The 14,762-nt window shown below is 34.1% G+C and overlaps 1 pseudogene across 1 annotated transcript in view; it reads left to right on the top strand.

Moving 5' to 3' along the window:
* GUSBP14 (GUSB pseudogene 14) overlaps positions 1–14,762 on the top strand; it is a 162,716-nt pseudogene that overhangs the window by 24,997 nt on the left and 122,957 nt on the right. The window contains exons 2-3 of the transcript NR_029426.1: positions 4,644–4,677; positions 6,144–6,299. The product of NR_029426.1 is annotated as a GUSB pseudogene 14, transcript variant 1 (transcript). The remainder of the gene's footprint in view (positions 1–4,643; positions 4,678–6,143; positions 6,300–14,762) is intronic.

Here is a 14,762-nt window from a genome sequence, read left to right as displayed (position 1 = left end):
AGCCAGTTTTCCCAGCACCATTTATTAAATAGGGAATCCTTTCCCCATTGCTTATTTTTCTCAGGTTTGTCAAAGATGAGATAGTTGTAGATATGCGGCGTTATTTCTGAGGGCTCTGTTCTGTTCCATTGATCTATATCTCTGTTTTGGTACCAGTACCGTGCTGTTTTTGTTACTGTAGCCTTGTAGTATAGTTTGAAGTCAGGTAGCGTGATGCCTCCAGCTTTGTTCTTTTGGCTTAGGATTGACTTGGCAACGCGGGCTCTTTTTTGGTTCCATACGAACTTTAAAGTAGTTATTTCCAATTCTGTGAAGAAAGTCATTGGTAGCTTGATGGGGATGGCATTGAATCTATAAATTACCTTGGGCAGTATGGCCATTTTCACGATATTGATTCTTCCTACCCATGAGCATGGAATGTTCTTCTATTTCTTTGTATCCTCTTTTATTTCATTGAGCAGTGGTTTGTAGTTCTTCTTGAAGAGGTCCTTCCCATCCCTTGTAAGTTGGATTCCTAGGTATTTTATTCTCTTTGAAGCAATTGTGAATGGGAGTTCACTCATGATTTGGCTCTCTGACTGTCTGTTATTGGTGTATACAAATGCGTGTGATTTTTGTACATTGATTTTGTAACCTGAGACTTTGCTGAAGTTGCTCATCAGCTTAAGGAGATTTTGGGCTGAGACAATGGGGTTTTCTAGATATACAATCGTGTCATCTGCAAGCAGGGACAATTTGACTTCCTCTTTTCCTAATTGAATACCCTTTCTTTCCTTCTCCTGCCTAATTGCCCTGGCCAGAACTTCCAACACTATGTTGAATAGGAGTGGTGAGAGAGGACAAATCAAAACCACAGTGAGATACCATCTCACACCAGTTAGAATGGCAATCATTAAAACGTCAGGAAACAACAGGTGCTGCAGAAGATGTGGAGAAATAGGAACACTTTTCCACTGTTGGTGGGACTGTAAACTAGTTCAACCATTGTGGAAGTCAGTGTGGCGATTCCTCAGGGATCTAGAACTAGAAATACCATTTGACCCAGCCATCCCATTACTGGGTATATACCCAAAGGACTATAAATCATGCTGCTATAAAGACACATGCACACGTATGTTTATTGCGGCACTATTCACAATAGCAAAGACTTGGAACCAACCCAAATATCCAACAATGATAGACTGGATTAAGAAAATGTGGCACATATACACCATGGAATACTGTGCAGCCATAAAAAATGATGAGTTCATGTCCTTTGTAGGGACATGGATGAAATTGGAAATCATCATTCTCAGTAAACTATCACAAGGACAAAAACCCTAAGATCGCATGTTCTCACTCATAGGTGGGAATTGAACAATGAGAACACATGGACACAGGAAGGGGAACACCACACGCTGGGGACTGTTGTGGGGTGGGGGAAGGGGGGAGGGAAAGCATTAGGAGATATATCTAATGCTAAATGACGAGTTAATGGGTGCAGCACACCAGCATGGCACATGTATACATATGTAACTAACCTGCACATTGTGCACATGTACCCTAAAACTTGAAATATAATAATAATAAAATTTTAAAAAAAATGTTCATTTTTAATTATAGCACTACACCATGCACTGAATCACGGAGGGTAAAAATGCACACTGTTAATAAGAAGGAGGGAGTCAATCTCATTAGTATTATAATATTTATACTGAATGAGACTCCATTCCCGAAATTCACAGAATTAAAATAATAAAAATAAAAATTTATTGCTAGCCAATTTGCAGCAAAAAAGATTCATTCTCATATTCTGCTATGAGAAAATAAATGAAATTGAATTTTAAAAGACATTTTTGGAAAGCCCTTTGAATTAACCAGAAAATTGTTAAATTCGTAGTTTTTTTGACTAACATTCTTCTTCCACGTTAACAGAATTTATATATAAGTGACACTCATTGCATATACTTTTAAGGGGTAAAATAATTACTAAATTTATGTACACTATTAATACTTCATTGTATAAAATTGCATATATACCCATATGCAAATGTGCACAGAATCAGTAGGGTAACCATAGACATAAAATGATCAGTGCAGGATATTTTATTTATGCATTTTATATATAATATACTTTTCATTTAATATTTTTGCTAATTTTATTGAATTGAATATTTATGCCTTGGTTATAGAACAACTAAATTTATTTTCAAAGAAACTCCATTATTATTGTCTGCAAGAGTAAAACTTATAAACAATCTAAAAATTCAACCAAATACAACCATTTACAATTGTGCCCTAGTTGAATTTGTAATCGTAGGAGAAAACACAGGTGTTGAATTTTTTGAATTTCATTTAAAAAATAATTGACACAATCCCTAAGGTATCATATAAATTAATTGAATTGTTATTGTCTTGGGTTAACATTTATTTCTAGAGTTTTTTTTCCCCTAATATCTGATTTTTTCCATTAACATTACTTATTTGGATAATCAGAAAAAAATCAACATTGCCAAAAGATAGATAATACCACAAGCGAAATATCTATGATAATGATAGGAAAATGCTTTGAATTCAGGCTGAATGAGAATTAGTCTAGGAAAACAGCTTGGACCCTCTCATTCCTGTTAATGTCATCTCTGTGTTTAGCACTGCTGCTATTCCTCAGCTACTAAGAAATGCTCTATTGCTGGGCATGGCATATGGGAAGCCAAGAAAAATGACTGGCTGCTTGGTGACAGCTCTCTAGTCCTCATGCCAAGTTCTGCCAGTGATTTAAATATTAAGTAATGGAAAGAATTTTGAAATCCAGGATGATTAGAAAAGTCATTTTCTACAAAAGTGAAGCATTGTCTTTAGAGATTAAAATCTATGAAAATAACATTATTGAAATACTAGACTTCAGACTATTTTTCTGAATTACTGTAACTGTTGAAATAGGTCTTTCAGCCCATTAAGATAAACACCACACTTTTCTCTTCATGATCTCCAGCTGTAATTTTATAGTGAAAGGTGCTTGCATAAAAGAGTTCACACTATCTGAAAGATGTCACATGTAACATTGACTGGCAGCCATTTCAGAATGGCAGACAGCCAATAAATCATTCAGAACTATGTGTCACTCGTTGTGGCTTTAAAATTGTATTCCTTCTCCTTTGATAAAGAACATTTCAATGTCAAATAGTTTGTTCTATTTAAACTTATACATCAACCAGAATATTGAGATACACAATAAAATTAAATGATTTGGTAATACCTTTAGAATTTATCTAAAAACAGCCGTATGTATTTGCATGACAGATTTGGTTCACAAACCGATCAAGTTGTTAGTATCAAAGGCATGTTTTAGTGCTGATTTGTGTATAGATAAATTTAGGAAATTACATAAATAGAAATACTTCTTTATAAAATTCCTTGACCTTGTGATATCTTGGTATTAAGAATCTTAAAGGAATCATTTAAAAAAATTCAAAAGCAAACAATTTCGATTTTACAAGAGCTAAGAAAAAAACATTTTGCTATGGACACAGATCGCTCTTCAAGAAAAGATTTCTTTCCCCCTTGGCTGCTAGGAGCAATATTACAAAGCAGCCTTCAGCTCTCAGCTCCTTCAAAGTTTGCCTCAGCTGTAACCATTGTCTGGCTCAATGTTAGGGCATCCTGGAGCACTGGACATGCAAACACGAATGGAGATGAGGTTATAAAGCCTGGCCATTTTGACCCACCTGAGAGGATTCTGACAGGTCCTTCCAGTGCCTGAGAAACCCAGGGCTCACATGCTTTATATTCTGATCATTCTGTAGGGGTTGTTCCCATGGGTGATAGAAGCTGCCAAATATAAAGAGGCAACCATGCAAATTTTTAGGAATTATTTCCAAAACTCTCATAACAACATCATATATATTTATTGGTTGTTTAAGTAGATTTCTGAGGAGTAGATAGCAACGATAGAAGTGAAAGAAAGTAAATGCAGTTGTTAAAGGATTAGTCTTCCCATACTTAGAAAGTACACAAGTTGCATATACACTATGTTCCTTCCCTAGAGCAAGTATTTCAATGCAGTCGTGTGTGTGTGTTTGTGTGCTTGTGTGTGTGTGGTGTGTGTGTGTGTGTGTGTGTATGCTAACTGAACTCATTATAGATTTTATTGGATCAGATATATGAAGAGACTTGGAAGACTTGGGTTTGTCTGGAACTGGGTGAAATAGAGAAGGACGATCATTGACATAGAAAGCTGATTACTTTGTCCTTTGAGTATAAATAGTCTTACAATAAAATGGCATCTCCACTGTCTAAAACACATTTTTACATTTGCTCTCCTTCTGAAATTATTTATGTGAAATTAACAAATGTACTTATTACCTTAGAAACAAACGATCCGTAATTTATATTATTTATTGTATATTTGTAGATCCACTTAAAATTGATTTGCAATATAAGGAAAAAATGCGTTTTATAAGTTGTTTGCTTTGTGTAGTGCATCTTGTTAACCGTAGGACTACTGTTGCATTGAAACAAAATAGAATTAATCTGTTCAGGTAAATAGAACTGGAAGTGAGATTTGTTGTCACTCCTTCTCCTTCAAGTACTGACCAGTCTTTTAATTCACACATAACTAACACTCTGTGCAATAATATTTTTTTGTTCTCTGTCTTTTCAAACAGAACTCAAGCTCCATGAGGAGATGTTTCATTGTCGGTGAGCACATTCTTGTCAATTAGTTCCTTCTTGTTTCTTACTATAGCCCCTGTGTCTAGAACCTTTCCAGGTATTCAGTAGCCATTTAAAAATTATTTGTTGAATGAATTGTTATTTTAAAGAACATCCACAAGTTTTGCCTGACTGGGCATGGGAATACATGCCCATCTTTGGACTGAATGTCCATTTTTCCCTTCTTTGATTTATCAAAATATTGGTTAAATGATCAGGACTACCGTCAGAAGGAATTTTATATCTAAAAATAGTTTACCTTCTATGGATGTAAAAAATAGTTGTAGTAGTTCTGGCTTTTATATTATTCGATGTTTCAAAGCGGTTTTTTTTTTCCATCACCATATTCTACGTTCTTGAAAAGTACTCGTTCATGTGACTGCTATCATTTATGCTTGTGCAGCACGTAGATACAGGAGAGAAGATAAGGAAAATGCTTACCCTGTGTCTCCTTCCCTGTAACACAGTTTTTTTTACCATATTGATTCTCCACTTTCTACTCCCTAAGTAAAATTTTGCAACAGGCATTTGGGAAACTCTGGATACAAGAAAAAAATTTTAATATTGTACAAAGAGACAAGAGGTGACTTCTTTTTTATTTTTCATTTAGAGTTTATAGTTTAATTAAAGAAAATGCACATATATCTAAAGATAATCATGGATAATACACTCATGTAATTACTACTTTCAGTGGTTGTAACAACAGCCAAAGCACAAACAGAAATGAGAAAGAATTATCAGCATTATGCAAGTACATATCCTCTTTAAGAATTCCTGTTATAGTGAAAGCATTAAAATAATTGAACACGTACAGAGACCATATACTTTGTGATCTTTTTAAAAAAGTATTCAAAATATATTTCTGTGTGCAAAACATTTTCATAATGGTCTTGTTTAAATGAAAGTATTTAGAATAGCACATTGTAAAATTATGCTGCAGAGCACAAGTATTTTTCTCTTTAGAAGACACATAATAAAATAGAATCATCAGTGTTTTTTCATAAACATGAATCTTTAGAGTGTTACTTGATCCTGCATAATAAGGGTACTTTTTTGCTTAATGTAAGCATAGTATACTAATTCTTTTAAACTTCAGAAAGCATATTTACAGTCTAGGCAGATGGGACATGAAGGTCACACAGCATGAGCGGTGAAATATCTCATTTACCTAGAGTTCTAGAGAGAATTTTAGGAACTCTTATTTATTATCAGTGCATAAACAAGAGTAAACTCTACAAAACTGTTTGCAAAACTCTCCTCTTTCTACTCAGAAGGCTTTCCCTAGAATAATCATTATGGAGTCTGTCCATCCTTTACTCATTCACTGCATGGGGACAGGTGTTAGTTATGAGATTGGTGAATTTAGAAAGCTAACCAATTTCATACCTATTTTGGGATTCTCAATTCACAAACTTTTGTGCGTTTCTTAATTATTTCCTTTCTTTTTCTTGTAGAGAGCAGTCATGATGGCCTGCACTCCACACAATGCAACAGAGTGAAAGAGCAGGTTCTGCTTCTTTGGTGTAGTCCTGAAGCTTCCTAAGAAACTTCACATCAGGTGATGGATAGGAGCAACCCTGTAAAACCAGCCTTAGACTATTTTTCAAACAGTAAGTAATAAAGGTGACGTTTTGATCTTTATCTGCTTAATTACTTCTGCTATGATTCTATTGATTCTAACATTGAAGGAGCAGTAAATTTATATGTATTATCCAACTATAAAACAATAAATAAACGATATGTCAAATACATTATCACATCCTTATGTTCTTATGATAATATTGTCCTTTTTTTAACAGTTTTTATTCTTATTTGTTGATTGGTTTGTCTTTATGTTGTCCTTTCTACTATCAAACTGAACATGTTGAGGTCATAGGCTATCAAAACTGTACATTTCTGATGCTAACCATAGAGACTTAACAACAGTAAATAGGCCAAAATGGAATGTTGTTAGCCATAGTGTGTATTATTATTTCTTTTATACATGTGGTCACTGTTAGAGGAGTTTATGACTTTTTGCCTAGATTAATGACACACAAACCATCTACAAACGAATCATACCTTATTCCCTCACTGTAATTTTTAATGTTGCTATTTTTGCCTGTTAACATTCCATAGGTTTATCACATTGCTTAAAGATTTAATTTAATTTCTGTAATTGTATATGTCATGAGAGATTGCTTTTAACCTTCCAATGTTCGTGGTCTCATTTTCACTAACATAATCCCAACTTTAGCTGCGCACAATACCACATTTCCCAGCATTCCTTGCATCTGGATATAGCTGTATTCAAATAAGCCGTGTGAAACTTCTGGGATGGCTCCTTAAGTGCAGTTGACTCATTAGGGAGGTATGTCTTTTTTATTTTTCTACACTTTGTGCTGCTGTCCTGGAGTACAGACATGGTGGCTAGAAGCATGAAATCACCTTGAAGGTAGAAGTCATGCATTGAAGTTAGTAAAAGTGAAATGTAAGTGTATAGTTTCCTGATGAAAATGGGAAGCTTATGTACTAGCAACAGAATGCTTATTATGCAGGCTTCCTATATGTAAAAGAGGACAAATTCTCATTTTATTAAGTTTCTGAAAGTAGATTTCTAAATGCTGGTTCTATTTTTTATTGAAAGTAATGGCAAAAAACGCAATGCCTTTTGTACCAACCTAATAGTTAATAAACATATCCTCAAATGAAATGTCTTAGAATTGTGTTCATCAAGTTAATATTAATAATTTATTAGAATAGCACTCTAAAGGGTTGCAGCCTATGCATGAAAATACTTACAAACTACTACATGATAGTCAATTCTTTTTGGCAAGACTGCTATTTACATGGACACAAGAGTTATTATAAGAATGTTGTATGTATACATGAATAGTGTCTGTTAAACACTGGATATAATAAAAACAATAGTTTTTCTGTTAATTATAACAATCTGAACATTTTTGTGATTATATTTCACAAATGACACACCATTTTATTTGCAGATTTTTCTTATCCCCAAAGTTTTTGTTAATTTATTACCAACACAGCACACAAGTCTAGTGGCAATGCATTACCTCTGCAGTTGATTTTGAAGTAAGAAGGCCTATTTATTGCATTCATTCCTGCTTAGATGACATCTTAAATTTGTTAATTGGATTATTATGCTCTATTCTATACATTTATTGATTTATAGATTTTGTGGACACAAATTTCAAAACATATTCGAAAATTTGGTGATAGCTTTTTAGAATCTATTCTTCAACATAGTTATTGAAAGTGAACAAGAAGGACCTCCTCTAGAGATTAGGTTGAGAACCACTTCTTTGATTTGTTAAATATGTGTACATGGATACCATGTGGCTTTATTATGAGGAGCCACTTAAGTGGCTGAGTTACAATTCACAAAACATTGTCACAGGGAAAATATCAGGACAAATTTTCAAGTCGCATGCCAAGAAAAGAAACTTTCTGAATGCTTATAAGAAATACCTTAATTAATGGGAGCCCTTCAAAGTACACAAAACATCATAACTAGGAGTTGCAACACAACCAGCAATTTGCTGATTGAAATGCATTCATTCATACTGACTTCACCTGCTGAATGGAATATTGTGCTGTACTGTCCTTAGCTATGGAGAGAGAATTAAGGAATATCCCCTTCTGGTGTTCAACAACAACGAAAGAGCAAGAAAGATATATTCCTAATTTTTAAAGAAGAATGTAGAGATACTTAAACAAGACAATGAAGGTGGTAGAAAGATTATTACCATCCCCAAAGTGTTTGCTCATTAAAACATTTTGTGATTTTCTCTGCCAATATCATACCTGTATGGATAATTGTTTTCCTATCCACACAGTTATGAGAGTGAGAAGATGGAATATAAAAGATGGAACAAGAGGGAATCTGTGTGGTGACCACAGTAATCACAGGCTGGTTGGGATCCTAAACTCGGCCACAGCACAAAAGCATGTTCAAGTTTAAAGTCATGAGAGAGGCCTGGCATAGTGGCTCACACCTATAATCCCTGCACTTTGGGAGGCCAAGGTGGGAGGATTGCTTGGGGCAAAGAGCTCAAGATCAGCCTGGGCAACATAGTGAGATCCCATCTAAAAAAATGTTCTTTAAGTTAGCCTTATGTGGTGGCATGTTCCTGTGGTATCAGCTACTCAGGTGGCTGAAGTGGGAGGGTCACTTGAGCCTGGAGGTTGAGCCATAATCATGCCACTGCACTCCAGCCTTGGTGACAGATTAAGACTCTGTCTCCAAAAGTAAAACACCAAACAACACAAAAAGTAAAGTCACAATAAAATGAGATGCTATTAAGGTTGTTTTAGGTTGATTTTCAACTAGACCAGCATTTAGCCTGTACAAAGGCATATACAAAATAAACCCTAAACCTAAATGGGATTCAGCAGCAGCAGTGTGGGTTAAAGAAGCCACCAGTTCCCTGGAGGCCAGAACCACAGGCCTGTGGCCTTTTTTATTGTTTTGACAGGGAGGTGGAAAGCAGGAGTATAACTACATTCAAGTGTCTGCTCTGTTGCTGTAGGAGAAAATCCGTGCTGTAGCACATCAAAGTTTTTCCAAATTTTATTTCTTAGGACATCTTTGGGGTTTATGTAAGTATTAAATAGAGCTCCCCTAGCCCAGGCTTACACAGGACATATGTCTAGTGTCATAGGTCTGTATGCTTAAATTATAGCAGAAAGTTTGCTAAAATTTAAGTGAAGTAATGTTGAAGGTTGAATCATTTGAAACAAACTACCTGCACCAAAATATTCTTTAGTGTACTGATTTCTATCCCACCCCTAATGAGGCTGAATTTTAATCTTAACTCTGCTTGTAATTAGGTATTTATATGTGTCTGTTATTCATTTTTTAACAAGATGTCTCTTCAGAGATAAAATGAGGGTAGCAAAAAATAATTTTAATAGCCATTTATATGGCTTTGATAACAATTGTCTGTTCTACTTATCTGACTGATTCTAAACTCTAAAGGTTATTTTACAGTTAGTAAATTACATAATTTTTATGCAACAATTTGCCTGCCAGGATTCCTATAATACTTGTCAGCTATCAGTAGGTATAAGCCTGTTAGCCTCTAATGTGAAGATAATATCTCTTTAAGTTATAACGCATTTACAATTGTTACAGTTTCTAAGGTCTTTTTGAAGTTAGAGATGCATCTGAGGATGATGGTTTTCAAGGAGATAGCTCTTTGACAAAAAATGACAATATGGGACTTAGTGTTATATTAATTTACACATTATGTTTTTGCTATAAAGATAAAAGGTGTGCTATACTACCTATCAATTACTGTATGCCACATTTTGTAGAATTGTTTTCCATATTATTGTAGAATGTGGCACTTAAATAGTATCATGAAAAAAGTTTATTCAAGAAATAAGACATTAATGAAATATAATTAATATATAAAGACTATATTTAAAAATAATTATGTATTTCTAATCCTAAACTTTTTAAGGTGACATTATTTTTTTCTGTGATATGATTTCAGTTGAGAAGAACTTTAAATTTTAATAAGATTTTAAGATGATTCAGTAATGTTAACATACTTTTCTTCTGTAAATTTTGTTAACAATTTAGCTGCATTAATTAAATATTTATGTAGCTAATTTTAATAGTGATATTTTAATACAATTCTTAATTTTACTCCTGGCTTTCAATCATTCATATATGTTTTTAAAAATTGCTTTTTCCATTGCTTTACTTCTTAATTACTTTTATCAAAGTCTTAATTGTGTGTGGTTGATTTTAAAAGTTAAATATTTCTATAAGATTTATAAAGACAAACTGGGTACAGTGACTCACACCTGTAATCCCAGCACTTTGGGAGGCCGAGGGGGTAGATCACTTGAGGTCAGGAGTTCGAGACCAGCCTGGCCAACATGGTGAAAGCAGTTTCTACTAAAAATACAAAGATATGCCTGGTGTGGTGGTTGGCCCCTGTAATTCCAGCCACTTGGGAGGCTGAGGCAGGAGAATTGCTTGAACCTTGGAAGCGGAGGTTGCAGTGAGCTGAAACCATGCCATTGCACTCCAGCCTGGGCAGCAAGAGCGAAACTCCATCACAAAAAAAAAAAAAAAAAAAAAAAAAAAAAAAATATATATATATATATATATATATATATATATATTATATATTATATATATGTATGTATGTATATATAAATGTATATGTGTGTGTATATATATAGATACACACTATATATATATATATATATATATATATATATATACACACACACACAATAGAAATGTCCTGGCTATATCTATATTAATAGGTTTTGCACATTTAAACCAAAGTCACACATATGGTTTGATTCTAATTAATTCTAATGCATCTTGCAGGTTTCAAACTGTATTCTATTATGTAATTATCTGCTGATCCACTCTGTATCCTGTTGTGTAAGTTGCGATGATTAACCTCTGCCTTTACGATGTAATCCAAATGTAGCATATAGACCTCAATGATAAGATTGATCATGGTGCATTTAATCATTAATTTATTATTAATCTCTTTTATCCTGGTACTTAGAGTGCAGATTTTTCTCAACAACTATTTACGCAATCATTAAATGAAATATAGCCTTGTGTCACTTAGCAATGAGGATATGTTCTGAGAAGTGTGTGGCTAGGTGATTATCTTACTGTGCAAACTTCATAGAGTGATCAATCTATAATGGTGATAGCAATTTTTCAACCCTATTATAATCTTAATGAGCCATTGTTTTACATGCTGTCTCTTATTGATGTAAACGTTGTTATGTGGCACATGATTATGTAAAAGATATTAATCCATTCATTATTTATGCATTCATCCATTTGACCTATGGTAGTGTTCTATTGAAAATGAGTCATCGTGATACAGAAATCCACTGTTAGTTGTTTTTACTTTCTCTTGTTCGTGGGGAAGAGTGGGTATTGATTTTAAAAGTCTAAAGAATGGGGTATTGTGAATAGTGCCGCAATAAACATACGTGTGCATGTGTCTTTATAGCAGCATGATTTATAATCCTTTGGGTATATACCCAGTAATGGGATGGCTGGGTCAAATGGTATTTCTAGTTCTAGATCCCTGAGGAATCGCCACACTGACTTCGACAATGGTTGAACTAGTTTACAGTCCCACCAACAGTATAAAAGTGTTCCTATTTCTCCACATCCTCTCCAGCACCTGTTGTTTCCTGACTTTTTAATGATTGCCATTCTAACTGGTGTGAGATGGTATCTCATCGTGGTTTTGATTTGCATTTCTCTGATGGCCAGTGATGGTGAGCATTTTTTCATGTGTTTTTTGGCTGCATAAATGTCTTCTTTTGCGAAGTGTCTGTTCATGTCCTTCGCCCACTTTTTGATGGGGTTGTTTGTTTTCTTCTTGTAAATTTGTTTGAGTTCATTGTAGATTCTGGATATTAGCCCTTTGTCAGATGAGTAGGTTGCGAAAATTTTCTCCCATTCTGTAGGTTGCCTGTTCACTGTGATGGTAGTTTCTTTTGCTGTGCAGAAGCTCTTTAGTTTAATTAGATCCCATTTGTCAATTTTGGCTTTTGTTGCCATTGCTTTTGGTGTTTTAGACATGAAGTCCTTGCCCACGCCTGTGTCCTGAATGGTAATGCCTAGGTTTTCTTCTAGGGTTTTTATGGTTTTAGGTCTAACGTTTAAGTCTTTAATCCATCTTGAATTAATTTTTGTATAAGGTGTAAGGAAGGGATCCAGTTTCAGCTTTCTCCATATGGCTAGCCAGTTTTCCCAGCACCATTTATTAAATAGGGAATCCTTTCCCCATTGCTTATTTTTCTCAGGTTTGTCAAAGATGAGATAGTTGTAGATATGCGGCGTTATTTCTGAGGGCTCTGTTCTGTCCCATTGATCTATATCTCTGTTTTGGTACCAGTACCGTGCTGTTTTTGTTACTGTAGCCTTGTAGTATAGTTTGAAGTCAGGTAGCGTGATGCCTCCAGCTTTGTTCTTTTGGCTTAGGATTGACTTGGCAACGCGGGCTCTTTTTTGGTTCCATACGAACTTTAAAGTAGTTATTTCCAATTCTGTGAAGAAAGTCATTGGTAGCTTGATGGGGATGGCATTGGATCTATAAATTACCTTGGGCAGCAAAGACTTGGAACCAATCCAGATGTCCAACAGTGATAGACTGGATTAAGAAAATGTGGCACATATACACCATGCAATACTATGCAGCCATAAAAAATGATGAGTTCATGTCCTTTGTAGGGACATGGATGAAATTGGAAATCGTCATTCTCAGTACTATCGCAAGGACAAAAAACCAAACACCGGATGTTCTCACTCATAGGTGGGAATTGAACAATGAGAACACATGGACACAGGAAGGGGAACATCACACTCTGGGGACTGTTATGGGGTGGGGGGAGGGGGGAGGGATAGCACTCGGAGATATACCTAATGCTAGATGACGAGTTAGTGGGTGCAGCACACCAGCATGGCACATGTATACATATGTAACTAACCTGCACATTGTGCACATGTACCCTAAAACTTAAAAGTATATAAAAAAAAAAAGGGGGGGTATACACACAATCAGGTGTCAAGCAGTGGCACCTCGTGCAAAATAATAAACTCATCTAAGATCCTAGCAGTTCATTCTGAAAATAAAGCTGGAAATATATCTTGGATATGTAAAATGTGAGTGTAAAAATTAATGAAACTAAGCAATGGGAATATGAGTAGTAAATTATTTGAGAAAATATTATAACATTTACTTTTTTAAATTTCAAAACTATATTTCCTTATTTAAAACTGAAAATTTTTGTGTACATATAGGAAACTAATTGTGTCATTTTTCTTTTTGTTACAATATAGAGTGATGTTTCAAAACACAAACATAATAGGTAGAGTCAATTACTTAGGGGAGTCTAAACCTGGAGGTAACATTAGAAATAGAAATAATAAAATGCAGTGTTTTTGGATTTGTCTGTTAAGATTATTTTAATCCAGATCATATTTAATGGTTTACATAGTTGTATATCAAATTTGGTTTCAGAAATAAATTATACAGTAAATTTAAAAATGCAAAAAATGTATATTGTTATACATTCTGTAACCTATGAATCCATATAACTTGGGCAAGAAAATTATATAATTAAAAATAAAACCTTTCTGTTCTCAATTATGTTTTAGGGACAGCTATATAGTTCACACTCACAAAGGAATCATAAAAACTCTATGTATAATCTTGGAAGTAAAAATATCTGTTGTATCATATTTATGAAGTATACAATTGATTAAAAATGATAATGTCTGTCTTCTATCCAACGGCAATAACAGAAGATAATGGCATATAAGTAGGCCTGTCTCCTTTTTTTTGGCATTGATTTATATATCTTTACTAGCTTTGTTGTTTTAACTCCAATAAAAGATTATTTAGTAAGCCAAAGCAAAAAAAAAAAAAAAATCCTGTGAGCAGCCACAAACTGAAAGACTACGATTTTTAGTCAATGTCCTAAGCGACACAGTAATTTTAGGTTAACCAATGTGTCAAAGAGAATGAGGAAAAATTATTACAAAAATGAATAAATAAACTGGTCTAGGTCAAACCGTACTCCTTCTAAAGAGAGTAGTCAACTGATATTAAAGCCTGTGACGTAGTATGTGCCATATTGAGTATGCAATATCTAAATATTTCTTTTTTTTCTTTCTCCAGCTACTGCAAACCCTAATTGTTTCCTTATCCGATCACTTTAAAGTCATTCAGCAAATCATAATTATGCCATTGTTAACATCAGAAACTGAAAACCTACTGTCAAAAGTGAGCTAAAATATCATATTTGGATTTATTTATAAATTTATTTTATAAAAAGATTGACTTTCAATTTGAGAATAACATAAAAAATCAATTCATTCCTCTGTGCATCAATATTGTATCATTGGTAGTTTAAACTTTTCATCTAATATTAGATTGCATGCAGGATTTTATATCTAATTACTCTGGCAGATGGCCTTTAGAAAGTTCAAAAATAAAATGCAGCAATTCATATTGGCAGATTTACTATTGAGACCAATGCTTTCTTAACTAAAAGGTTTTGTTTAA

The sequence above is a fragment of the Homo sapiens genome, chromosome 5 (assembly GCF_000001405.40).
Source record: "Homo sapiens chromosome 5, GRCh38.p14 Primary Assembly".
Taxonomy (NCBI): Eukaryota; Metazoa; Chordata; class Mammalia; order Primates; family Hominidae; genus Homo; species Homo sapiens.
Note: the sequence above shows the minus strand (reverse complement) of the source record. Positions and strands in the feature narration are given on the sequence as shown.